The sequence below is a fragment of the Homo sapiens genome, chromosome 18 (assembly GCF_000001405.40).
Source record: "Homo sapiens chromosome 18, GRCh38.p14 Primary Assembly".
Classification (NCBI taxonomy): Eukaryota; Metazoa; Chordata; class Mammalia; order Primates; family Hominidae; genus Homo; species Homo sapiens.
The window spans coordinates 33,680,677-33,706,249 of NC_000018.10; the positions used below are offsets into that span (position 1 = coordinate 33,680,677).

General features: G+C 36.1%; 1 protein-coding gene across 8 annotated transcripts in view; it reads left to right on the forward strand.

Moving 5' to 3' along the window:
• ASXL3 (ASXL transcriptional regulator 3) overlaps positions 1–25,573 on the forward strand; it is a 172,977-nt gene that overhangs the window by 102,458 nt on the left and 44,946 nt on the right. For all 8 annotated transcript variants that reach the window (XM_005258356.2, NM_030632.3, XM_011526205.3 and 5 more), the window contains one exon: positions 2,729–2,892. In XM_005258356.2, coding sequence (XP_005258413.1) covers positions 2,729–2,892 — 164 coding nt within the window. The remainder of the gene's footprint in view (positions 1–2,728; positions 2,893–25,573) is intronic.

Consider the following 25,573-nt stretch of genomic DNA (forward strand, 5'->3'; position numbering starts at 1 on the left):
ATTCCTTATACACTTAAGGAATGATCTTTCTCATCCCTAATAATATATTTTTTTACCTTTGTTTATCTGGTCTGATGTTAATATTGCAGTATGACTTTTTTGTTGTTTTGAATTTCTGATTAGTAGTTTTTAGTTTATTGTTCATTTTCTAAATTTTTATTCTTTCCATATAATTTTTATTTTATGTGTATTTCTTCTAAGCAGCAAGTAAATGGATGTTGTTACTTTTAAAATCTAATGTGAAAATCCAGTTACCTTTATTGTGATTGTTTTGTGCTTAATTTTAATTTTTTTCCTCCTTTTGTGCCTTCCTTTTGATTGAGTTTTTCCATCTATCCATTTATTTGGAAATTATAATTCTTTTTTTTTTCTTCCAATAGCTACTTCCAGAGTTTTAATGAAATAAAGAACTAGTTCATATCTCTCTTGTTCCCAGAGCATACCAGAGTTTTATAGTGCTCTCATTTCAATTACATCTTACCATGTTGCATACAGTTATTGTGAATTATTTTATTTCCACTTTGTTTGATTCCTCCGTAGGTCATTAGTATTATTTTTTACAATGAATGTTTGTTTGGATTTACTCATGTCTATTATTAGTCACTTTGCTTATCATTGCCTCTGCAACCATTGCATTTCTTCTTTGATATAATTGCTTTATTTGTTAAGAACATACACTAGTGGTTATTTCAGCAAGATTCTCTAAAGGATAGAGTTTCGATTTAGGATACCAAAAACATTCTTATAATTGCTATAATTGTCATTTTTTAGAGACATAGTTACAAATGAAATTCTAAATTGACAGTTTCTCTTGCCCTTTTGAAGAGATGTCACTGTCTTTATTGATTTATTGATAATATTTCTATCCATCACACTGTAATTTCTTGGAGATAATCAATTTTTTGTTAAAAATGGTTTTAAGATACTCCTTTTATTATTGATGTTTGGAGATTTCAACACACTAGATGGAGGAATGGGTATCTTTCTTGAGATTTGGTATGTAGCTTTATTTAAGAACTTTAATCATTATTTCAGTTCTGAAAAATATTTCAGTCATTAGCTATTCAAATATTGCCTCTCTGCAATCTGTGTTTTTTTTAAAATTCAGAAACTTCTATAAATATGCATTTTGACTTATTACATTCTTTGTATTTGTTCCCTATCACATTTTGACTCATCATTTTTATACTGCCCTCTATATATTTTCCTTAAGTTTGTATCTTAATTACTCAATAATTTTTCCCCTGTTATGTCCACTGAAAAAATTTTAAATTTCTTAACTTAATTTGTATTTCTAGAAGTATTATCTGGTTCTCCTTAAAATTTGACTGTTCTTTTATCATGGTATCCTGTATTTTCATAATTAAAAAAAGTCACTCTTTTGTCTTTAGTTATTTAAAACAAGGATTGGCAAACTGTTTCTGTCAAGGGCCAGCGAGTAAATACTATAGGCTTTACAGGCCAGGTGATTTCTGTGACAACTCTTCAGCTCCACATCGTAGTGCAAAAGCAGACATACACGACATATAAACAATTGGACATGATGGTGTTCTAGTAAAACTTTATTTGCTAAAGCAGGCATTGGACCAGATATAAATCATGAGCCATAATTTTCTGACCTCTGATTTAAAACATACTCTTTATATAAAATCACATTCAAGTCATTATCGTAGCTCAAGTAACAGAATGGTAATTCTTCTGTCTGTGTTTGATGCATCAGTTGACTGTCCCTTATGGTATGTTATTTTCTTGGGTCTCATGATTTTGAGATGTGAACTCTACATACAGCCTTCTGTTGGAGGTCAGTGTGCCTTGAGTTGTGGAATCATCCTGCAGAGCATATTTGCATTTCAGACCTAGTGGCTAATTTATTTGTATTTTTTATTTTTTGAGACAGAGTTTCACTCTGTCACTGAGGCTGAGTGCAGTGGCGCAGTCATGGCTCGCTGCACCCCTACCTCCCGCGCTTAAGTGATCGTCCCACCTCAGACTCTGGGGTAGCTGGGAACACAGGTGCATGCCACCACACCTGCCTAATTAAAAAAAATTTTTGTGTGTGCAGATGTGGTCTCACCATGTTGCCCAAACGGGCCTTAAACTCCTGAGGTCAAGCAGTCCTTCTGCCTCAGCCTCCAAAAGTGATGGGATTACAAGCATGAGCCACTGTGCCGAACCTAAGGTTTTTTTAAAACAATGCTTTTTAAATTATCACCCTCAGAAATGCCCTGAATAGGAACCTTCTGAAATAATCCAGTGCTTAGTGCACTGCCTGACACATGAGGAACACACAGCTATTTTTGCTATCAGTATCTCTATTAAAATTAACAGTACTGTTGTTTCTGTTATCATTAGCCTTAGGTCTTATAGAACTTACATAAATTGTAGTTGTTACTATTCAGGCATTCAGAGTTTTTGAAAATGCTGATTAATTGGAAGCTCACAATTAAAATTTTTTTATTGGAACCTGGTGCTACTTTGAGCTAAAAGTAGAGAAGATATTGAGTGAAGTATACATTATGACAGCTAAAGATAACTGAAGACAGACAGACACATAATGGAAGAAGCTTTGGGAATTTCTTTTCTGAAATACCATTTGTAAAAGGGGTAGAAGTAAACATAAAATTGAATATACATGTTCACTAGATATATGTGGCTGTGTTTGTGTGTACGTACGTACACGTTTCCCTCTACCTGTAGTAAATTCATGCCTCTTGCTTGTTCATCACAGGGCACTTGAAATGGACCAAAGCTGAGGACATTGACATAGAAACCCCAGGATCTATTCTTGTCAACACTAACTTGAGGGCATTAATAAATAAACATACGTTTGCTTCCTTACCTCAGCATTTTCAACAATACCTCCTGCTTTTGCTCCCAGAAGTGGATAGGCAGGTAAGTAGAAGTTTTAGACATTTGATACCAGCCACTAGTTATATTATGATGAAGTGGAAGGTCTATTATCAAAGATGACTTATATATGGATATAGTAATTTCTGTAATTTATGCATTTCTATTTATTGCTGTCATTAGCTTATTTAATCCTCTAAAACAGAACCATTTTTATTCTTAATAGTGAGCCAATTCAAATTTTAAAATACGGTACATTGTGGTAGAGTGAAAACTATAAACTTACATTGGAAAGGGAAAACAAAGAAATCAAACATTCCATTATCAAATAAATCTTTAGAGTAGCTGCTCCTTTGCCCAGAGGGAATACTGAAATGCAGCAATAAAAAGCCAGGGTTTCTAAAAAATTATGTAAATGTTTTCATCCTCAACTATTTCCAAAAGGCATTTAAAATTTATGTTTGCAATTGCTCTCTGAGAGTCTATCAGTATGAATATGATTGCCTATAAATAATCACCTTTTACCATTTTTAAAATATAACTGGAAATGCTTTAAGTGTATTTTTATATTTTTGAAAAGCTTCTAAAATGAGGAAATACAAATATAGACCCATAATGGCAGCCATCAATCATCTTTTAAAGCTGTTTGCTTAGGAAAGAAAAGGAAAAAAATTTTATCACATAAACTTTTATTAAATTTCACAAAATTTATTAAGTGCTGTCTAGGAAACATTCCCTTATGATTCTTATTTCAGTGAATTCTGAAACTGTGCATCATTTTCAATTGATGGACTTAATGCATGTATATTTATGAATTTGTGTCTTGAGATGATAGGTACATCCATGAATTGAAGTGGACAAAATTCATTCAATATTTCCATATTACTTTGAATAAGTTTTCTTAGCTTTTTATTTGCTTCTGTTTTCTATTGACTTACCCATCTTCTTTCATACATATTTAAATATGATAAGCAACAGTTTGCTACAATTTATATGTATCTCTTTGGTGGTGATTATTGTTCATATTTAGAAAGAGATTATTTTGATTTTGGGTACATTTTCATTTCAATAGGAGTTTTTTCTCTTTCAATAACATTTACTTAATATTTACCCTGAATATGATATATTCTGGGTGCTTTGGAGTAATAGCAAGACAGTGAATGCTTATTGAATGAGTGATTAAATGCACTGTAGTTGGATACATAAACTGTATTTGTAAATAACCAAAATATGAGTTAGAAACAGGTAAGCTTGAGGGGAAAAGTACAAAGTATATTGTACTTTTATATGCAGAAGGGAAATATCAGAGTCAAATTTAAAATTCTTGAATTGGGCCTTGAGATATAGAGGTAGAATTTGAATAAAATGAATGGAAAAGTGCCAAGTGAGAGTCCAGGGGTACAAAATCAAAAGCTAATCTGGTGGAAGTCTGGATTGTAGGAAGAATGGTGCAAATGATTTTGGAAGGACAGATTGGAAGTTGACTTTGGAAGATTTCTTGAATATGAAGCTGAGGAGTCTGAATGGTGTTCTCCCTGTGTCTGTAATACAAAGCCATTGAGGGATTTTGAATGGAGCTGTGATGTAATAAGACCATTACTTTTTAAGGAAATTATTCTGACAGTACTGAAAGAGAATGATAGGCATGGGAAACATGAAAGTAGAAAGAATAGTTAGAAAGGAATTTTAGTTTTTCCCTAAAGGCACAATGAGGGTTTGATTTTCGAGGATTGAATTGAAATTAAAGAGGAGAAGAAAAATGCAGCCGTCATCATCCTTATCCTCATTCTCCTTCACCACCTTGTTCTCCAGTAGTCACAATTTTACATTTTGTCAAATAACACTTGAAGCAGGTATAGGGAGGAGCCACTGATGATTCTTCCGTTATAAGCTTGTGTGACTTAGAATTTAGGTGTTAGAAACGTTTAGGGGAAAGATCTGATTTATTAGCTTATACAACAATTTCTTCCACTTCAACACAGGTGTAGTTTATCTTGTTTACAAATCTGTCTCCAGCTTCAGAAATAAGGTTTGGCATCTACAACTGCATTAGTCCATTTGCATTGCTATAAAGAAATGCCTGAGGCTGGGTAATTTATGAAGAAAAGAGATTTATTTGGCTCATGGTTTTTCAGGCTATACACAAAGCATACTGTTGGCATTTGCTTCTGATGAGGGCCTCAGGAAGCTTATACTCTTGGTAGAAGGTGAAGTCATGTCACATGGCAGGGGAGGGAGCAAGAGAGAGAGGAAGGAAGTGCCAGACTCTTGTAAACAACCAGATCTGTCTTGAACTCACAGAGGGAAAACTCACTCACTGCTATGAGAACAGCACCAAGACATTCATGAGAGATCTGCCCCCATGAGCCAAACACCTCCCACTAGGCCCACCGCCAGTATTGGAGGTCACATTTCAACATGAGGTTTGGAAGGGACAAAACCCCCAAAACATATCAACAATGTACTCAATAAATACTTTTGTAATGAAGAAATAACGGATTGTCTTAGTTTTAGTCGAATATTGATGGCCAGAATCTAAGCCCAATATTTTCTTCAACCTCTAGCAGTTTGTGTTACTCAGTTTTTTGTAGTCACTGTGAGAAATATAATTGAATAAGGCACAGTGCTCATCCTTGAATAACACTTAGTCCATTGAGAAACTTTTTTTATTCAGAAATATTTACTGAGCATGTGTTGTGTACTATACGCAAGAATGGATCTTGTGGAGGATACAAGAATGAATCTTGTGGAAGAATAACAGAAGGGAGAAAAACAACTTCATACGCAAGTGTAATACTCTGTGCTCACTACTAGAAAACAAGTTTAATAAATGGATAAGTGTTTTACCAAGTTTAGTATAAAACCAGTTAGAATCACATAAATGTCATAATAGAAGTATGAAGAAAGTCTTTTGAAGATGTAGAGGATGAAGAAGTTTAATCTGAATGTAGTATTGGAGAAGATTTTTATAGTAGAGAGGATGCTTAAGTTGAACCTTAAAGGACTGGTAGGTGTTTCTTGAGTAGAGCCAAAGAAAAGTGAATTTTACAAAGGAAAGGCATGCCATTTACAAAGACATATTGCTTATATGTTCCAGAAGACTTAATATCTCTGTATGACTGGAGCCACCTAAAGGAGAAAATGGTGGGCTATTCTGCTGAGGGGGAATATAGTCTACAACCTTGATGGCCTGATTGTAGGCTAAACTCTTTGAACTTTTTCTGAAACCAGTAGGTACCATCAAAAACTTGACAGATGGGAAATGACATGCAAGAAATAGTTTAAACACATGTTTTCGTGCCTGGGCATAGAAGAAGGGAAGAGAATCCAAAGGATAAATAAAATGCAGTCCTTAATTTCTTTTTTGGGAGCAGGTATCTCTGTGAATGATGGATTGGACAGCAGAAAGATAAGACACAGAGAGGCTGGTTAGGAGACAGTTGCAGTAGTTGAGATATGAGATAAATGTTTGACCTTGGTATTGGAGTTGGAAATGGAAGGAATGAATTCCAGACATATTTTCTACCCAGGATGAATAGGAATAAATGACAGCTATGAAATGGGATTGTTAAAGGTCTAGAAGGCAACTAGAGATTTTTTCTAGAGTAACTTAAGAAAGAGAAGCTTTGTGGGCCTGTCAGCATTTTATAGCAAGAAATTTAGAGCTAGTATGCTCTCTTTCTGCTCAAGGTGGGCTCAACCCTCTTTTCTAGCAGAAAGGGACGGGTGACTTGGTGCAACAAACAAGCAAAACTGCTGCTGTTTTAGTCTAGCTTATTGCAAATGTCCAAATGAAGATGAACACCACTGTTTCATGGCCATAATGAGTGGAGATGGCATGGAAATGTGAATTTGATTACATAGATTTATTTGAGCCAGTGGAAGGTCCTACAATTATGTGAAATACCTAAAATTTCAATTACATCTTCACATATTTTACAAAATCTGAAACTCCTCTCTTTCTTGTTTTCCTCCTTTGACTACCCCAAGTTTCTGCTCTTTCTAGTATGAAGTAGTCCTAAAAGGGCCTCCTACTCTGGACCCAAATGAAACGGGTTCATTCCAGTATTACATCCTCAAAATATGGGAGCTGAGTTTCGCATTTATCTTGACAATGCCAGCTGTTAAGGCAATCTTTTTGGGTGTTTTGTTTTCCTATATTTGTACTTCTCATTCTGTTTTTTAGAGTTCTGTTTATCTTAGATTATATTTTTAATTTACCCTTAGTTGTTTCATCACATTGCTGCATCTAGTTTTATACTTAAGTTTATTCTTCACACATACTGCAAGTAAAAGAAAGTCCAACTCAAAGATTTTTAAGTCATAAAAGGACATTTATTGGCTCAGTTAATTAGAAGACAGAAGTTTGGGTGGGCTTCTTGTTCTTGGTCCTAGGTCTCAGTTATTATTGAAGGACCATTTCATTATTTAAATAAATAATTCATAAAATCTTCTGCCTTGTTGACATTTTCTAAACCCTAATCCCTTTGTGTAGGATGGCTACCCGAATCAAGATGTGAGCACTTGCCTCAGTGCATGGGGAGAATACTGGTATTTCATGCAAAAGACCTAAGATTCACACTAATAGTACCGTTTAGATCACATGAGCATTTCTTAAACAATGACTGTAGCCAAGGGAATGGAATATACAAATTGGCCTAAACCCAGTACGCCTGTCCTTGGAGCTCAGAGAGTGTGTTCATCATCTCCTGAAGTAAAATGGTGCACTTGTGGTAGAGGTCAGAGATACTGTAAAAATCTGTTTTTTAGAAGTTTTATCAGGGGATACACAGGTTGGAGTAGATGCTTCGTAGGCAATTAACAGCGCCTGTTGAAGACAAGTCGAAATTGAGTTTTATTTTTAACATATTGGATTGAAATTCTTCCATTATTTGAAATGTCCAGACAATCATTATGTGTGCAGGTTTTAAGACAGTAGAAGATGGAGTTAATGATAACATATACATAGATTACTGTGTCTGCTATGGGATTTGATGAGATTGGGAGATAGCATAGTCATCACAGAGAAGTATATGTATTTGTGGAGAGTGTGGATAAAAAAGAGGATGGGAAAGAGACAGAAAATAGATAGAAAATAACAAATCCATGAGAGATCATCAATGTGCCGATCATATATAGGCAATAGTGTCAAATGTACAATGTGCCAATCATATGTAGGCAATAGTGTCAAATGTACAATAGGAAGTCACTGGAGACTAAGTAAGGTATCTTTCATTTATCCCTTCACATCCACACTTCAGTCTTCTTTGTGCTGCTTTTCTCCAGAAGGCTAGCCTGTATGTGGACTACTGTATCAGGAGGGCCTGTGCCCTCCATCGTCTTTTGAAAAAAGTGTTGAAATAATCATAAACTTTTAGAAAATGTGAAGGCATATTTGAGAATAAGTTTGCAGCCAGATGATCCAGTGTCACTTTCTCCCCCAATATATGATGACTTGAAAGGTGTATTTTCTTTTTATCTTTTTTTTTTGATGGAGTCTTACCCTTTCACCCAGGCTGGAGTGCAGTGGCGTGATCTCCGCTCACAGCAACATCCGCCTCCCGGGTTCAAGCGATTCTCCTGCCTCAGCCTCCCGAGTAGCTAGACTATGGCTGCCTGCCACCACATCTGGCTAATTTTTTATATTTTTAGTAGAGATGGGGTTTCGCCATGTTGGCCAGACTAGTTTTGAACTCCTGACCTCAGGTGATCCACCCGCCTCGGCCTCCCAAAGTGCTGGGATTACAGGCATTAGCCACCGCGCTCAGCCAAAAGGTGTATTTTCTATAAACAAGGATGTGTTGTCTTACATAAGTACAGTGTAACCAGTGAAAATCAGGAAATTAACAGTGATGATTATCATGTAATTCTTAGATTCTATCCAAATTTAGCCAGTTGTCCCAGTAATGTCACGTTTAGCAACAGCATCCAGTACTAAATCTGTCACTGCATTGAGTTGTCATGTCTCTGTAGTCTCCTTCATTTGGATCAGTTCTTTAGTCTTTCCATGATGTTCATGACCTTGACACTTTTGAATGTTATAAACCAATTTGAGTTTTCATAATATCTCCTACTCAGATTCAGATTATGTACCTTTGGGAGAAATACAGTAAATGATGTTGCGTTCTTCTTGCATCCTGTTAGGTGGCACACAACTTTGATTTGACTCAGTACTGATGCTGTTAACTTGATCATTGTATTAAAGTGTATTTGTCAAGCTTTTCCAGTGTAAACTTGCTCCTTTCCCTTTTGTAATTAAATAGTATTTTGTGAGGAAGTTCTTTTAAACTGTGTAAATATCCTGTTCCTCTTCAGATTTTCAATGTATTAATTCATGTACAAACACACACAGACACACGTGTGTGTGCATCTATATGTATGCCTTCATTATTTCCTTCTTTTCACTAGGCTATTATGCTTAAATTGTCCCACATTTGGTCCACAAGAGCCCACTAAAGCTGGCTGCTGTGCCCTCTGACATGTCTCCATTATTATTTATTTATTTATTTATTTTTTAAGAGATAGGGTCTCACTGTGTTGCCCAGGGTGGTCTTGAACTCCTGTCCTCATGTGGTCCCCCGCCACCAACTTCACCTCCCAAAGCACTGGGATTACAGGGGTGAGCCACCATGCTCAACCTCAGTCATTCTTTGATCACTTCCTTATTTTGAAGCACGTTAAAGTGTTCTGATCTTATAGTATACTTTCTCTGCCCCAGTCCAGGAATGAACCCTTTCTTCAAGAAGCCATGGTTCCCATTAGTGGAGGATGTCATGAAATCAAGATGTCATGAAAGGTGTGCTCTTTTTTTCTTAGGATGTTGCTGTTACTAGATCTAAGAGAGATCTCAGAAAACTACACTTATGTATAGGTATGAATACCCATGTACATGCACCTGTATATGTGTGTGTGAATGCTTCCTTAACTTCTCTGTCTTGGAGACAAGGAACATCATGTAGAAGAAAGTATGTGAGCCTATTTACGTAATATATAAACATAACACAGTTTATATCTACATTTATTTCCAGATAGCTCTATCTTGTAAGCCATGAGTTCACACTGATACCTCCAATCCTAATCTACTAACCCCAATGCTAATCTAATACCCCATGGTCCATTCTAGTTTTCTGTCTTTCCATAGATGTCTCTTACTTCTCCGACAGTGAGAAACCAGCTCCTCTTACTCTTAATATATCTAGATATTTGATTATTGCCTTGTAGGTAGCCAGTCTTCCATCTTGGCCACCATACCTTTGCCATGTGGATGGTCTCCTCATCACACACAGGCTGTGACTCTTGATGACAGGCCACCCACCTTGCATTTTCCTCTTCCTGTTAGACTTCTAACACTGCACATCAGGCTACTCCTCAGTGCAGGTGCCCTCCTCACCATGGTTGGACTCTAAAACTCCTCTCCAGGCCACCTCTCTGTGCTACCTCACCCCACTTGGCTCTGTGATTCCCTCCTGGACTGTCATGATCATGGCTGTACCCCTCTCCCCTTCTCTACACGCTTACAATGCTTTAAGCCTCATACCTAGATGTTCAGAAGAGGGAAGAGAAGGCTGTCTGGATTCTGATTAGGTTCAGCTGTTGGGTAGTCACAGCAATGGATTGAATGGAGAAAGAAAAGTGAGATTGAGCATCATATCCTCCCTGCAATGACAGCACAGGCTTCATTCATTGGCCAGCTCCTATCAGGATGTCCTCTCCATACAGTCCCCTCTCTGCCCGTGGTCTGATAAGCCCTGCGTCCCTTCACACTTCAGGTCACACACTAACTCCCATTGTTAATTCTAGTTTACTTCACTGTTCTCTGTGGTGTTGCAGCCCCTAGGCCATACCTTTTTAAGTCATCACTTTACTCTCCTCAAATGATCCTAACTTGAAGGAGCTGTTGTGGCTGCTAAGACTCTTGACTGGCAGACCTTGTGAGGAAGTTGAGTAATAGAGGTGTAAGAAAATTATACTGGTTTGGGGTAGGAATGGAATGTATATTTCATTCATTTATTCAACCAAAACATATTTAATGCCTACAATTCACCAGACTCTGCTAGCTCTGATGATGTAACTGCTAATAAGTTACAGTTCCTATCCTGAAAGAGAGAATTGTTCTAGAGGAGAGAGAGAGATGTAAAAGCCTGTAATTACAGAACAGTGCTCTGATTGTAGTTTATATATCATGCTATGGGAACATAGAGGAGATAATTACATTGTCTGTAAGATTTAGAGAAGGCTTGAAAGGGGAGGTGTCATTTGGGCCGGGTCCGGAAAGATACAGGAAGGTTATCAGGTAAAGAAATGTGGAGGGCATTCCAATAGAGGAAACAATATGTGCCAGTAATAATGATTATGTATACTGCTAGGTCTTCTACATATATTATCAGCAATTCTTACCATAATGCTCTAAACGGTATTATCAACCCCACTTTCTATATGTAGAAGCTGAGGGTCAGGGAGGAAAAAGGTCTAACCCAACTTTTTCCAAGTAAAACCATGGGAGTGAGAATGGAAACACAGGTTTGTCCAACTCCAAGCTTATGCTTTTTCTCCACATGATGTTCCTTGTCCCCAAGATGCAAAGGCAGAAAAGTACATTTTGTCTGTCAACACATAATTTGAAATGGCTGGGATATAATGTGAGTAAATTGAGGCCACAAAGGTAGCTTAGAACAGCATTTTTTAAAAAGGCTTCAAATGTCAGTAAGCTATGTAGAGCATGCCAGGATTTTGCACTGGAGCAGGACATACGTATAATTATGTTTTTTTAAAAAAGAGCCGTGATGAGGGACTGAAGCATAGAACAGAGGAGGAGGAGTCCCAGACTCTCCACCTTGCTGGGAGTTAGCCATACCCTCCTTTCTGTTCCTCAAACCCAAGCCTTTTCTGTGTCTCAGCTTCTGTGCTTCCTACTATCTCTGCAGGGATGCTTTCCTGACAGGGATGCTTTTGGCAAGACCAGCTCCTTCTCATCCACCAGGGCTCAAAGTCCTCCTCACAAAAGCTTTTCTTGCCTCCCCTCCCATCTAAAACACCTTCTTTAGTTGTTTCTTGTCTTATTTTTCTGTTTATTTCCTTCCTGGCACTCACTATAGTCTCTGATTAACTTATTCATGTATTTGTTTTCCTCATTGGAATAATGGCCTCAGGACAGTCCTTTGTTTCTCCTCCTCATTTTGCCTAGCACATAGTAGGTGCTCAGTAAAGGTTTTCCGAATGAGTGATTGAGTGAATATAGACTGAGAAATGACTTAGCAAGGTAATTTAACTTGTCTAATAAATGTAAAAGCCTTAGCCACAGATATTAGAGAATGGAAAAGAACTTTGCATTAGTCTACTCATGCTGCCATTGCAAAATTCTGCAGCCCGGGTGGCTTACAACAGAAGTTTATTTTCTCACAGTTCTTGAGGCTTGAAGTTTAAGATAAAGGTGCCAGCATGGTGGGATTCTCCTGAGGCCTCTCTCCTTGGCCTGATGGTCTAGGGCCTTGCTATTATGACCTCATTTAACCTTAATTACCCCTTTAAGAGCCTTATCTCCGAAGAAAATCATGTTGGGGTTAAGGCTTCAATATGTGAATTTTGTGGAGGCGCAATTCAGTCCATATTGAACATTTTGGAAGTAGTCATCCAAAACTTGGTAGTTGGATTTAGGGGAGAAGGAGGTGCTGAATACATGTTTTTGGTATTATGTTTATTGTGCATTTGAGAATAGCAAAAGATTGGTAAGTTTTTAAAGCTAGGGTAGACTTAAACATACTTTTGGCTTAAAATTGAGGCAGTTAATTGGAGAAATTTAAGATGGAAGAGAGAGGATTTGATTTACTGACAAAAGTTTTAGAATACATAAGAAAGAATTGACTTAAATTGGAGACAAAGCTTATTTAGAAAAACGAAGAAAAAAGTATTGATTTCTGAGATCATAGGGAAGCAGGAAAGAAAGAGTAAAAAATAAGTAAATTTGAAAAATGCAGTAGAAAGTGGGAGTTTTCCCCTGGATGGTAGTGTATGTAAGTGTCTGCTAAGAGACTAGAGGATCAGGGATTTCAGGAGAGTAAAAAGGCCGTGAAAAGTGGCTTGGTGTATTTTCAGAGATTCATCCTGCAGAAAAAAGTAGTTGCTGAGAATCATTGAGGGCACATTTGAGAAGAGATGGCAGTGGACAAATAGTTGGTCTATTTATGTGTTTTTCACCCCAGCAATGCTAAATATTTATGCATTTATCTTGGTAACACATGTGCCAGAAGTTAGATTTTGCAAAAGTCAGAGATTTACAAAGGCTCAAATTTGAAGGAGTTGATGGATTTTAGGAGACTTGTAAGGTTCTTGTTGACTGATTAGATGTGGTTGATTATGAGGTTCAGGCAGCATAGGAAGGAAAGTAAGGTTGGAGGAGCTGGGCTGATTGAGCGGACAGGAAAATATAGGTTGGAAGGAAGCAAAGTATGTTGATAAATGAAGTGTTATGGGGTCCTAGAGTAACACACTTTGGATATGATCAGGTTTAGGCAAACACATGGGTCAAAGTCATCTTCTTGACCACAGCATTTTGGCTCAGAGATGAAATACAGAGAAACCAAGAAGTCAGAGCAGGATTGGTCAGTGGTAGCAGATAGGTAGAATTATAACTAGTTCTTCCCTCAATCCCCCTTATGGGAATGTTGGCTTAATAAATTCACTGCTTGGGTTTGTAGCCAGACATGCCTTTGTGCATAGCGTTCTGCAAGATGTGCTTGGAGAATTTTTAGAACCTCCTTGATTATACATAGCGGATCTCTCCTTTCTTTAAGAATTTGTACTTTATAAAATGTGTCTACGTAGAACAATTTTGTGACCTTTTAAAAATATATGGCAGCTGGTGGAATAAATGTCAACTAAAGTGGAGTCCTATTAAAGTTTTTATTACACTTTCAAATTGAACCTCACTGATGAGTAGGTTGTTGTCATTTCTGTCATCGATATCATTTTTACTTGATGTTCTTCTCTGACTCCCTCTATTTGGTGCTATCAGGGCTAACGGGGCTATCTTTGCAAATATTTATAAGACCATCCCCCAACTGCTTCTAAATAAGTTGTGCCTGCTTTTTTTTTTGTCCAAATGGTAATTGCAGCATTTTAGTCAATTTTTACTAAACTCTCAATTCTTTTGCATTTATGTCTGTGTTGTCTATGGTCTGTTAAATAACTAGTCACTGAAGAGTAGGTACTGTGTAGGCTCTTTAAAATCCTATCTGTCTTTGTGTTCCTCCGGTTCTGCACTCACTGGCAATAATGCACATAATTTTAACTGTGGAGAATGTCATTAAACTAAAATGGAACATTTACACAGTCCCTTTTGCAGAGAATTTTGGACTAGGAAAATGGATGTGTCTGTCAGACATTTTACAGCACAGGAGAATGTGATTTATTGATTTCTGATGGCTCTGTTGGCATCAGTGTATATATTTAAAGAAGTCACGCAGCCTTTATAAATGCAAATGCGAAAGGGCTTTCCGTCTTTTCCCTCCGTGGAAATAGCTCATACATTTTCGATAACTCAGGCTCCTCTTAGAGATTGCTCTATGTACTGAATATATTGATTTAAAAATTATACTGTTATTTTATTCTACAAATAGTGTATATAATGAAATGTCAATTTACTTAAAAGATTATAAAATTCAAAAGTATTAAATATATGAAAAATACTAGTATCTTAAGCCTTTAGGTAAAAGTAAGTGTGTGTTTGAAATGTAATTATTTTAATGGAACTGACACTTTGGCTTTTTCGCTGAGTCTGAAAGCGTATCTAAAAGTACTTAGAAGATCCATTATTTCTTCTTGCCTAAGTCACTTACTGGTGATAGTAAATCATACATAGCCAGAGATATTCTGGCCAATCATGCTTGGATATTTTCATTCTCACCATTTGGGCTTTATGGTGGGTATGGAGGTATATATAATTTATTTAATAAGATGGAAATTCTTTATGGAGGAAAGTAATTTTACCTATATATTATTCATTTCTTAGCTAACTGATATTTAACGTCAAATCCTGTTCATCGGTATCTGCTTCAGTGTATGTAAAATAACTATAGACTCAATTAAATTACAGATTTTCAAGTAATTGCACATAATAGGCAATCTAACTTACAGAGCTGATTCTAGTCTATGCATAAGGCAGTTAATAGAGAAACACAAAATCACTTAACCTGAATAACATACTATTCTGTGCATTAAGCCACTTTCTTTCTCTTTTGTACAGGCTACTAAGTGGCAGCTTCATAGCCTGGAAGGGTGTCTTTGTCCATGTATAATCCACTACCACTAGCATATTGGATTACTAAATACTTAGTATTGCCCTCTAATATTTACATAATTCTCTTTTTGTTCTCTTACATAATTTACTTAATAATATATGTATGTGTAATTCTTAGCTGCCAGTTTATGCAGGAATGGTAAATGACTTAACATTAGCTTTGTCCTAAATATGAAAAAGAGACAGTTTGAGGGGGAGAATCATGCATGTGGTAGATTACACATTAGTGCCTGTTCTTTTAGTAAGGAGCATTCTAAGGCCAAGGTCACCACTGACCATTATGAACAGGTGTCATACAGTGAGTCTCCCCTAAATTAGGGTCAAAGTTAGAGAGAAGAAAACTGATTTCACTTATGAAGTCATTTTTACAACTCCTAGTAGTTATTATACCCTATTAAAAAAATATAGTTGCCCAAGAAAATACTTTGATTCCAGTTGTAAAATTTGTTAAAGTTCATTGTAAAGGAATAAAGGAATCAATTCTAAGCAGGAAATCAACAGTGTAATGACGTTTGAACTTCTGGATTAAAGTGTTAGTATAAATATGCATATGTAATTCCCCTCACCACTTCTAATTCCTCATTAAAGTGACATTGGCTTTTCCCCATTAATATATTTCCTTATCAGTCATGGAACCTAGGGGAAGAACGCCATCCAGATGCCAAAAGCTGTGAGGAGTTTCTGCAGGAGATAATGAAAGTGAGATTAGATTAACCAGAGGGATAATGGGTGGGAGTGACTGCCTCAGGAGGAAACTCTGTGGGATGTGACTGGAAGAGACTGCTGATTTGTCCTGTCCAGAACTAGCTCTGAGTGAGGGGGGCTGGAGGCAAGGGTGGAGCAGTCAGGAGGAGCACATCTCAATATCATTCTTGCTTTCTCGGAGTGTTCATCAGGACTTATGCTCTATAACAGCAAGATCCGATTGCAGAAAATGTTTCCAGGCTGTGCTTGCTATGGAGTTGTCCTGTGTTCTATCCAAAGCCTAACTGACCTGCTAGCCAAAGGAAGGCTCAGCCTCAATGATGTATCACCAAACATATGGGTAAAATGTTATTTGTTAAAGAATCAATCTCTGCTCCTCACAAGTGCCAAACCTCAACTTGGACAAACATCAGCTAAAGTAAACATAAACATGTACTTTTTCCTGATTGTTTATTTGTGGATGAAATATTTGTACAGGGTCAACAGAGTTTCTGATGGAAACCATCTCAATATCTATGACTGATCTAACACCTACTGACCTCACCCTCTTAGAAGGAAAGGACAGAAATCAATAACTAGGCATAGAAAAGATTTGGCAGTTTAAATAAAGAGAACCTGTGTGACAATTCAGAGAACAAGACCCTTTATGTGTTACTGAAATAGGATGAAAATGATCTGAACAGTATCTATTAATAAAGTTGAATTGATTCAAAAGAATATACTTATTTTACAAATATCAATTGAAATTTTATGGTGGGCTATGCAAGGTTCTAGACATTGGAAATACTGTGTTGCATGAGATTGTCATGAGTCCTGCCTTCATTGAGCTTATAGTCTAGCAAGAGAAACAACATTAGAAGTAGTGAACATGCACTAAGCTCCCTGGAAATACAAATTTGAAGAACAGAAAAGAGAGCTTCTGAGCTGGCACATGAGTGAATTTGATGCAGTTGAATTTTTGGAAACGGTTTGATACTTTGGAATCTTATGATATCTTAGGCAGAACCAGATTTGTGCTCAGTTTATAGTGAAGTCTTCCCCACGACTAAGGCGTATGATTTTCCAATCTGACTAGTGAGAACAAGCACTGTTCCTGGCCCTGTATGAGCACAGGACACTGTTACCTCTATACATTTCAGGTGGTTGTTGCCCAACCTCTGGGCAATTTTCTCACACAGCTGATCAACATTCAGCTGATGGCCCAGCACAGTGACTCATGCCTGTAATCCTAGCACTTTGAGAGGCCAAGGGGAAAGGATGACTTGAGCCCCATAGTTTGAGACCAGCCTGGGCAACATAATGAGACTCTGTCTCTCAAAAAAATCATAATAATTTTAGAAAACATTCAGCTGAAGAACTCCAGAATTTTCTCTCTATGATACTCTGTCTTCTCCTGTTCTCTTCCTGTGACCTATAACTACATTGTTTTCCCTGACTCAGCTTCAGTGTATTGCTAGCCCAGTAGATGGATAGTGGTGCCATTAACTGAGATAGGTAAAGATGGAAGAATATGTACTATGGTATGAATGTAGGTATCCCTCCTGGATTTAAATGTTGGAACTTGAACTCCAAGCTGATGTTATCAAGAGATGTGGGGCCTTTTGAGAAGTGATTAAGTCAGGAGGACTTTGCCCTTGTGAATGGGATTAAACCCTTATAAAAGAGATTTCAGAGGCCTGCCTGGACTTTCTTTCTCTTATGCCAAGTGAGGACACAGCAACGTGGTGCCATTTTGGAAGCATAGAATATCCTTTACCAGATATCACCTCTACTGGTGCCTTGATCTTGGATCTCACAGCCCCTAGAACTGTGACAAAATACATTTCTGTTCTCTATAAATTACCCAGTCTTGAGTGTTTTGTTTTAGCAGCACAAATGAAAAAGACAGCATGTTTTCCATTTTGGACGTGTTGGATCTGAGGTGCATTTGAGAAATCTGTGTGGAAGCAGTGAATAACTAATTGGCTATACAGGTCTGGAGGTTAAACTTCCAAGGTGGAGTTAAAAGGAATTGGGAACCATTGATGTATGCCTGTTAATTAAAACCATGAATATAAACAAAAAGGGCTATAGAATAGATTTAGAAGAGGGCTTAAGATGAAAGTCTGAAATTTCCAAATGTTAATGGCTGAATAAAAGAGAATGAGCTTACAGAGGAGACAGAAAAGTAATCATCAGTGAAGTGGGGTAGCATAAAACCAGAATTCTATCATTGAATACACTTCCAATGATATTTAGAAAGTGAATATTTAGGAAGGAGGCCATGATTTATTTTTTCGGAGGGGAAAGGAACACTGTCTCTGGGGAAAATATGTGTTAAGTAGTTACTTCATTTCACTTAGCTATTCATAATAGTTTAAGAGAGGGATCAGGGAAAAGGGGAGTTCCAGGGTGACTGTGCTCATGGCCAAGGCTGTGCCCGTTCGTGCTATAGGGAAAGTTGCTTCACTAAAATAATACAGCCAAATCTCTAACCAAGTTAATAAAAAGACAACAATAAAACTAAGACTTGAAGAAGGCAGGGGAGGGTAACAGTATATAGAAATGCTACAAAATATAGTCTAAGATATCCACTTTTCAAAAGAGAGACACAGAGAGGGAGAGATACATATATAGGCCAAGAAATAAGAAAGAATGACTCAAGAGTCTAGAAAACCGGCAAGAAAATCTTCTATGAAATGCTCTGATGTTAGATTGAACAGAAAAAGGCTTGAAAGCAGGCATTGTAAATATCTTCAGATATCTAAAGGAAACCATGCTTACATAAATTAAGGAATGTATAATGACAGTGTCACACCAAATACACATCATCAATAAAGAAATAGTGACAATGAGAAATAATGAAATTATTAGTTGAAGAGTAGAATAAAATGAAAATTTCATTAGAGGGGCACAGTAATAAATTTGAACTGGCAAATGAAAGAATAGGCAAATTTGAAGATGGAGTGATAGAGATTATTGAGTATTACTCATGTATTGAGTAAGATGATGATTGAGAGTTTACCATGCATTTCACCGATGTGGTTCACTGGTGATCTTGACAGACACAATTTTAGTAGCATTCTTGGGGTGAAAAACTAGTTTGGAGTGGTTTCAGAAGAGACTGGAAGGAGAATATTTGCATAGAACTCTTTCATGTTCCCCTACAAAGAATATGAAAATGGAACGTGTGCAATGGAACAACAAAATGGAGCATTAGATCTTCGAATTTCTTGCTGAGTATTTTGAGGCCACTGTTCTTTTTAAAATTGCTGTAATACATGGGGTATTTTATTTCATAATATAGTTGTGTTTTGTGTATGTGAAAGCTATTTTTTTCTTAGACCATTTTACTCAATTTTTGATAATTATACATTATTTTTTATTTATATTATTGAGTTTTTCAGATAAATATATCGCTTATAAGAATGATAATTTTATCTCCTTTATAATTAGCATACTTTTTGAGAACCATTTCATTTATTTGTTCAGGAGAAATCCAGATTGGAGTTAAATAAGATGTAAGTTAGAGAAGAAAGAAGTTGAGAATGCAGACTTGTCTTTTAGTAAATTTGCCTGAAAGTGGAGCAGGCATAGGGGTAACTGGAACAGCATGTTAAGGAGAGAGATGGGGTTTTGTTTGGTTTATTTTTTCATGTGGCAGAGGATTTAATATGTTTAGAGATCAAAGTGATAGAGTTCCCTTTGAGAGGGAGCAATTAAGTAATCAAGATAAAAATAGGAATCGGTGGCTTACTGTAACGATCCCTGAAGGCAGGGGTGGAATAGGTGGTTATTGAGGCACTGGTGGAGATATTTTTTCATAGAAAGGGGACAGAGGACTGCTTCCAGAAAAACTGGAAGAGAGGAAGATGGTGGGTAAATACAATGTATTTGAAGTTTCCTAGTGGAAAATCTAGGGCATTCCTGCCTGATCACCACAGGTTCATTTTTTTTTTCCCCAGGAAAGTAGATATCAGGATCATGTACTGGTAGTGCTAGGTAGGATGAGGGTAGGGAGGAAGGTAAGAAGCTTGAGCAGAAGAGAATGAAGTTTGAAATAGCAACTGAAAGAGAATGAAGTTTGAAATAGCAACTGAAAAGTGAGAAAGTGAGTTCACTGAAAGCAGCACATCAGGCTACCTTAGAGAGCGATAAGGGCCCTGAATTTGAAGGCTTTATTAACAAACCTCTCTGCTTAAATTTTTCCAAAAGTGTTGGCTATAGAATGGAACCATCCACTATAGATTGAGCTTTAGCCATATGGGTGTATCCAAAAGACAGGAAGGGCAAGAATCTTGTTGACATGATGGACCAGAAAAGCTGAACTTCAAAACTAGGGGAATGAAGAAAGAACAATGAACTGGGTAAAAGTAAAGGGATGAGTCAACACAGTGGGTCACAAGTTCAAGAATGGTCATGGTAGGAGGAAGTTAACATGCTAGCGAGGTCAGAGAGAAGAGCACGATAGGGGTTAAAACTTACAGTAATAAAGCAGTTTGGGGCATTTTACCCAGTATTTTCCAAAAGATCTGTTGTTTTTTGTCTTTTTTTTTTAAAAGTTATTAGCTATACAAAAAATTGTGAGCTTTTTCTTTATGATTTGGGTTTTTCAGTCTAGTTAAAGAATATATTCCCTACATTAATAATATATGAATATCCTCCAAAGTATTCTAATCTTTTTATATTTAAAATTTTTTCCCTTTAGATTTTTAGAAGTGTGAGTTCTGCAATTTTGCTTTTCTTTTTCAAGATGGTTTTGTCTATTCTGGGTCCCTGAATTTCCATAAGAATTTTAAGATAAGTGTGCCAATTTCTATCAAGAAGCCAGATGGAATTTTGATAGGAATTGCTTTGAATCTATAAATCATTTTAGGGAGTGTTGTCATTGCTTAACAATACCAAGTCCTCTGATCTGTCCACAGAGGATGAATTTCCACTTATTTAGATCTTTAACTTCTTTCAACAATGCTTTTTAGTTTTCAGAGTATAAGTGTTACATTTTTATTAAATTTATTCCTTACTATTTTGTTCTTTTAGTGTTATTGTATATGGGTTTTTTTCTTCACTGATTTTTGGGTTGATGAGAAGCCAGCTGTTAATATTATTCTAGTTCTCTTGTACATGACAAGTCCTTTTTCTCTTGCTGTTTTCAGAATTTTATCCTTGGCTTTCAGCATTTTTACCAGAATGTGTCTGGGTATGAATCACTTTGCATTTATCCTACTTAACGTTTGTTGAACTTCTTCAATTTGTAGGCTGTTTTTCATCAAATATAGAAAGTTAAACATTTTTTTTATTATTTTCTTCTCCTTTTCCTCTCTCACCACTTCTACTACCCATAGTAGTACTTGTGCGCCACATATCTATGATGTCTGTTCCTTATTTAAATTATTTCCTGTCTTCTTTAGAGTGCATAATCTCTATCACTGTATCTTCAAGTTTGCTGACACCTTCATCTGCTAGTTCAAATTTACTATTGTGCCCCTCTTAATGAAATTTTCATTTTCATTATTTTACCTTTCAACCCAGAATTTCCATCTCACTTTTTTCATTGTTGCTCTCTCTTTATTGATGTTCCGTATTTGGTGAGACACTGTCATTATACCTTCCTTAATTTATGTAAACATGGTTTACTTTAGATATTTAAAGATATTTAAAATGCCTACTTCGAAAACCTTTTCTGTTAAATCCAACATCAAGCATTTCATAGAAGATTTTCTTGTCTGATTGTTTTCTAGACTGTCATTCTTTCCAGTTTCTTTGCATATCTGCATCTCTCTCTCTCTCTTACTCTTTTTTTTTGCAAGTGGATATTGTAGGTTATATCTTATAGCATCCATATATACTACTCCTCTCTTCCTTCAGGAATTGTTTTTATTGTTGTCTTTTTAGTAACTTGGTTAGAGATTTGAGTGTATTATTTTAGTGAAGCTACTTTCTCTGCAGCATGAAGGGGCACAGCCTTGGTTGGCCATGAGCACAGTCACCATGGAACTCCCCTTTTCCCTGATCCCTCTGTTAAACTATTATGAATGGCTAAGTGAAAGGTAGTAATTACTTAAAGTATATTTTCCTCAGAGACAGAGAGTATTTCTTTTAATTGTACTTTTATTTTATCATTATATACCATAATTTTTAGGAGTTTGTTTATATTTGGTTTGGGGAATGGGATAATTAATTTATGTTAGGTTTTCAGTGGTCACAGTAAAATTACATTTGCCATTCATAAATTATATTAGGTTTTCAATGGTCACAGCAAAATTACATTTGCCATTCACAGTAAAATTACATTTGCCATTGTGAACCTGTTTCTAAGTATACTATTTCCTTGATAAGCAATGGGGATAAAATTATTAGGGAGATAATAATCACTGCTCAAGATTTTATAATCTGCTTTGATATCACACCCAGACCTTAGGTCCATTAATTGCTGCCTGATTGCTTTATTGTTTTCAACAATGCGGTGGGCATAAATTGCTCCATAGTCTGATAAAATTAAATTTCAGTTCCTTTGCAGAGTATTTTTTAGGCCAGTTTTTGAGGTGGTTCAGGTCCCAAGGGAGCTCTTCTTAGTTATCTCTTTCCCTGGTTCTCTCTGGTACATTAGTTGATTTACTTTTTAGCTTGTTACATTCATAAAGCTACCAGTCTCCTCTTAATTGCTCACGACCAAAATCTCCATTGGTTTCAAGATCACTCTTAGGCACAAACTTCCCTATACCTGTACTCTATATTAAATAGTTGCTTTAGGGAGACCATAGAAATCTGTTCTTATGGTCTTCCTCTCTACCTGGACAAAATCTAGAGTCTCTGCTTCGGATGGGGACAGAAGTAACATTTTTGCTTTAGTAGCAGAGCATTGGGTGGGGGTGCTCAGCTTACCTCTTCTGGAATGAAACATCCACCCTATGAATGAGCTGGGGCAAAGGCCCTAGTATTCTTGGCCTGTCACTCATGCGGTGGAGCCACCACCCTACAGTGGCCCACTGCCCAAAAGAAAGGAGCCCTTGACCTCTTGGTTGTACTTGCCAGGTATTTAGCCTTTGGAACTCGAAGTTGGAAGGGATGAGAAATGCTGCGGACCTGCCTCTGCCTCTCCCATTGAATTACTGTGTCAACTGACTGGGAATTGAGGGAGGATAAATCACTCCCCCCCAACCCCCACCCCCATCCCTCTCCTCACTTTTTGGCCAAAATTGCCTGGAGAGGAGCTTCCCTCACATGAATCTATTGGGTGGAATGGATGGGTCAGAACTTAAGTGACACAGATTCTTGCAGTAGTTTCCAAGATTTAGCAGAATTTTTGAATAACTGTTTCTTCATTTGTTATATGCTCTTAGGGCAAATTCCAGATACTCTAACTGGGTAATTTTAAAAATATTTTTTACCATTATGATGGATTCTCCGGGGAACAGTTCCACAGAGCTTCCCACACCACCATTCTGGAAGAATAACTCTACTACCTTTAGATTTTTTATGTAACTTTTTTATATGGTAATAAATTTTGGTTTCAATTTGTTTTCCTGTGCTAGATTTCCAAGTATGCCAAAGGCATTTGTTAAATAAACTGCTCTTTTCCAAAAAGTGACATATTAGTAGTGTATGCATATTTCAATATGTGCTATAATGTAGTAGGTACTCAATAATTATTTTTTAATGAAATTCATATTAACGTCTTATTTCTATGACTAAAAACACCTCACAAAAACTCCTTTATATTCTTTCCTATTAAGTTACATTTCACATTCAAGAAAAGTTGCAGTTTGTCAAGCTTTTTGATATTACAGATGCCTCTGAAAAAAGAATTATATTAAAGTATAGATTGTCATTAACACAGGGAGGTTGACAGTTTCCATTATAAGTACCTATTTTAATAAGTAATTGTTTAAAGTACTGTGTCCTCAAAGAAGACCATTTCTTTTGATTTTTACCTTTATTTTATCATTATGTATTATGGTAGGTTTTAAGTGATCACAATAATACAAATGCATTTTGCTACTCATAAGTGTCCCATTTCTTTGACAGCCATTGGGGATTAAAATTAATGAGTAGATATAGTGCCTGTGCTCAACATTTTATAATCTAGAAGCAGTCAGATATGCAAACTTAGAAAATGGTACAGTATTTTAAAACACAAGCATTGCCATTGATAATGTGTGAAGTCAAAGATGTTAATGATATTTAGAATATGATTTTCTTGCCTAGAGTAATGTTGTGTTAAGCCTGTACAGATTCGTTTTTATTCATTAATATTTTAGTACCAAGATCCTGATTATTTAAATATTGTGTTTTATACGTTAGAAGTATCATTAAATAAATGGTGAGTATAGAAAGGTTGTTTTGATGGAAGGTTGAGGAAATGTTTTAAGTGGTTCAGTTTACCCAGTTTCTTTAATCTCCTTTTGGGATAGTTTCCAGAGTGTTACTTTCTGTCATCTGTGTTCTTAGTTAAATTTTTCTTTTAATGTTTTATCCATTCAGAAATTCTATTGACAGGAAAGGAAAGAAGCCAAGAAAAATTGGTTAAACAAGATTGAATAAGCTATTATTAATATTCAGATATTATTTGACATGTTTAATAGCTTAGGTATATTTATCATATTAATATATTTTAATACTTCAATATACAGTTGATTCTTAAGAGATTAATATTTTTGTTTTCTGGATATCTTAAAATATGCATGCATAAAATTTATAATACAGAAGATAACATAAGATAACAATGAAGCTACCATTTATTATGTTTTTAATGTCTACTACATATTTATTTCACTGGGGAAGAATCAGTATTGGGATACCATCCCACCAACTTTATATAGACCCATTTCCCAAACGAGTGTTTGGAAAATGTGTTTTTTGTTTTTTTTTTTAATTTAACTGAAAATATTTTCCTTATATCAAACGTGTGTGACAATTTACTAAATTTTAAAGCATGATCAGTTAACTGTTACAAACTTCTAATTTATATAAAATGAGCCATTTTCAGCAGCAAAATCAAGTATGAACTCTGTATATTTTTTATTTTTAATATATGCCAAACTACAGGTAATTGCAGAAAAATATAAGACCCACATTATATTCAACAAGCTCCAAATTTTCCCTGTCCGTTTCTGATATTATGAATGCCAAATGTTCCTCAACTACTGTATTTATCTTTATTGTTCTACAGATCAGTTATTCATGAAAGTGAAGAAATTATGGAAGGAAAAAATAATCATTCATTTATTTTTGTGTGAAAGTTTTATTGGAATGCAGCATGCATACAGATAAGTGCCCACCTGATAGCTGTACAGCTTAATGATTTTTTCTAAAATGGTAGCATATCCTTATAACTGGCATCCAGATTTTTTAAAAAGAGAGAACATACCCTAGCATTTTGGAAACTCCCGTTGCCGTTTTAGTTAATACCCACACAAAAGAACCTACTATCCTGACTTTTTTCACCATCAACTACTTTTGTCTGTTTTTGAACTTTATATACTGGAATCATTCAGTATGTACTCTGTTGTATTTAGATAATTTTGTTGTGTGTAGCAACAGTTCTCATTGCTGTGTAGTATTTCCATTGAGTGACATAATAATTCCTTATTCTCTTGATGCACTTTTTTTTTTTTCATTTTGGAGTACTTTTAGTAGCTGTACTTTTAGGAACATTGATACTATTATTCTAAAATTTCTGTGAAAATACAAAGGGCTTCTAAAAACCAAGGAAAAAGATCAAAGAGCTACCTCAACAAGATATCA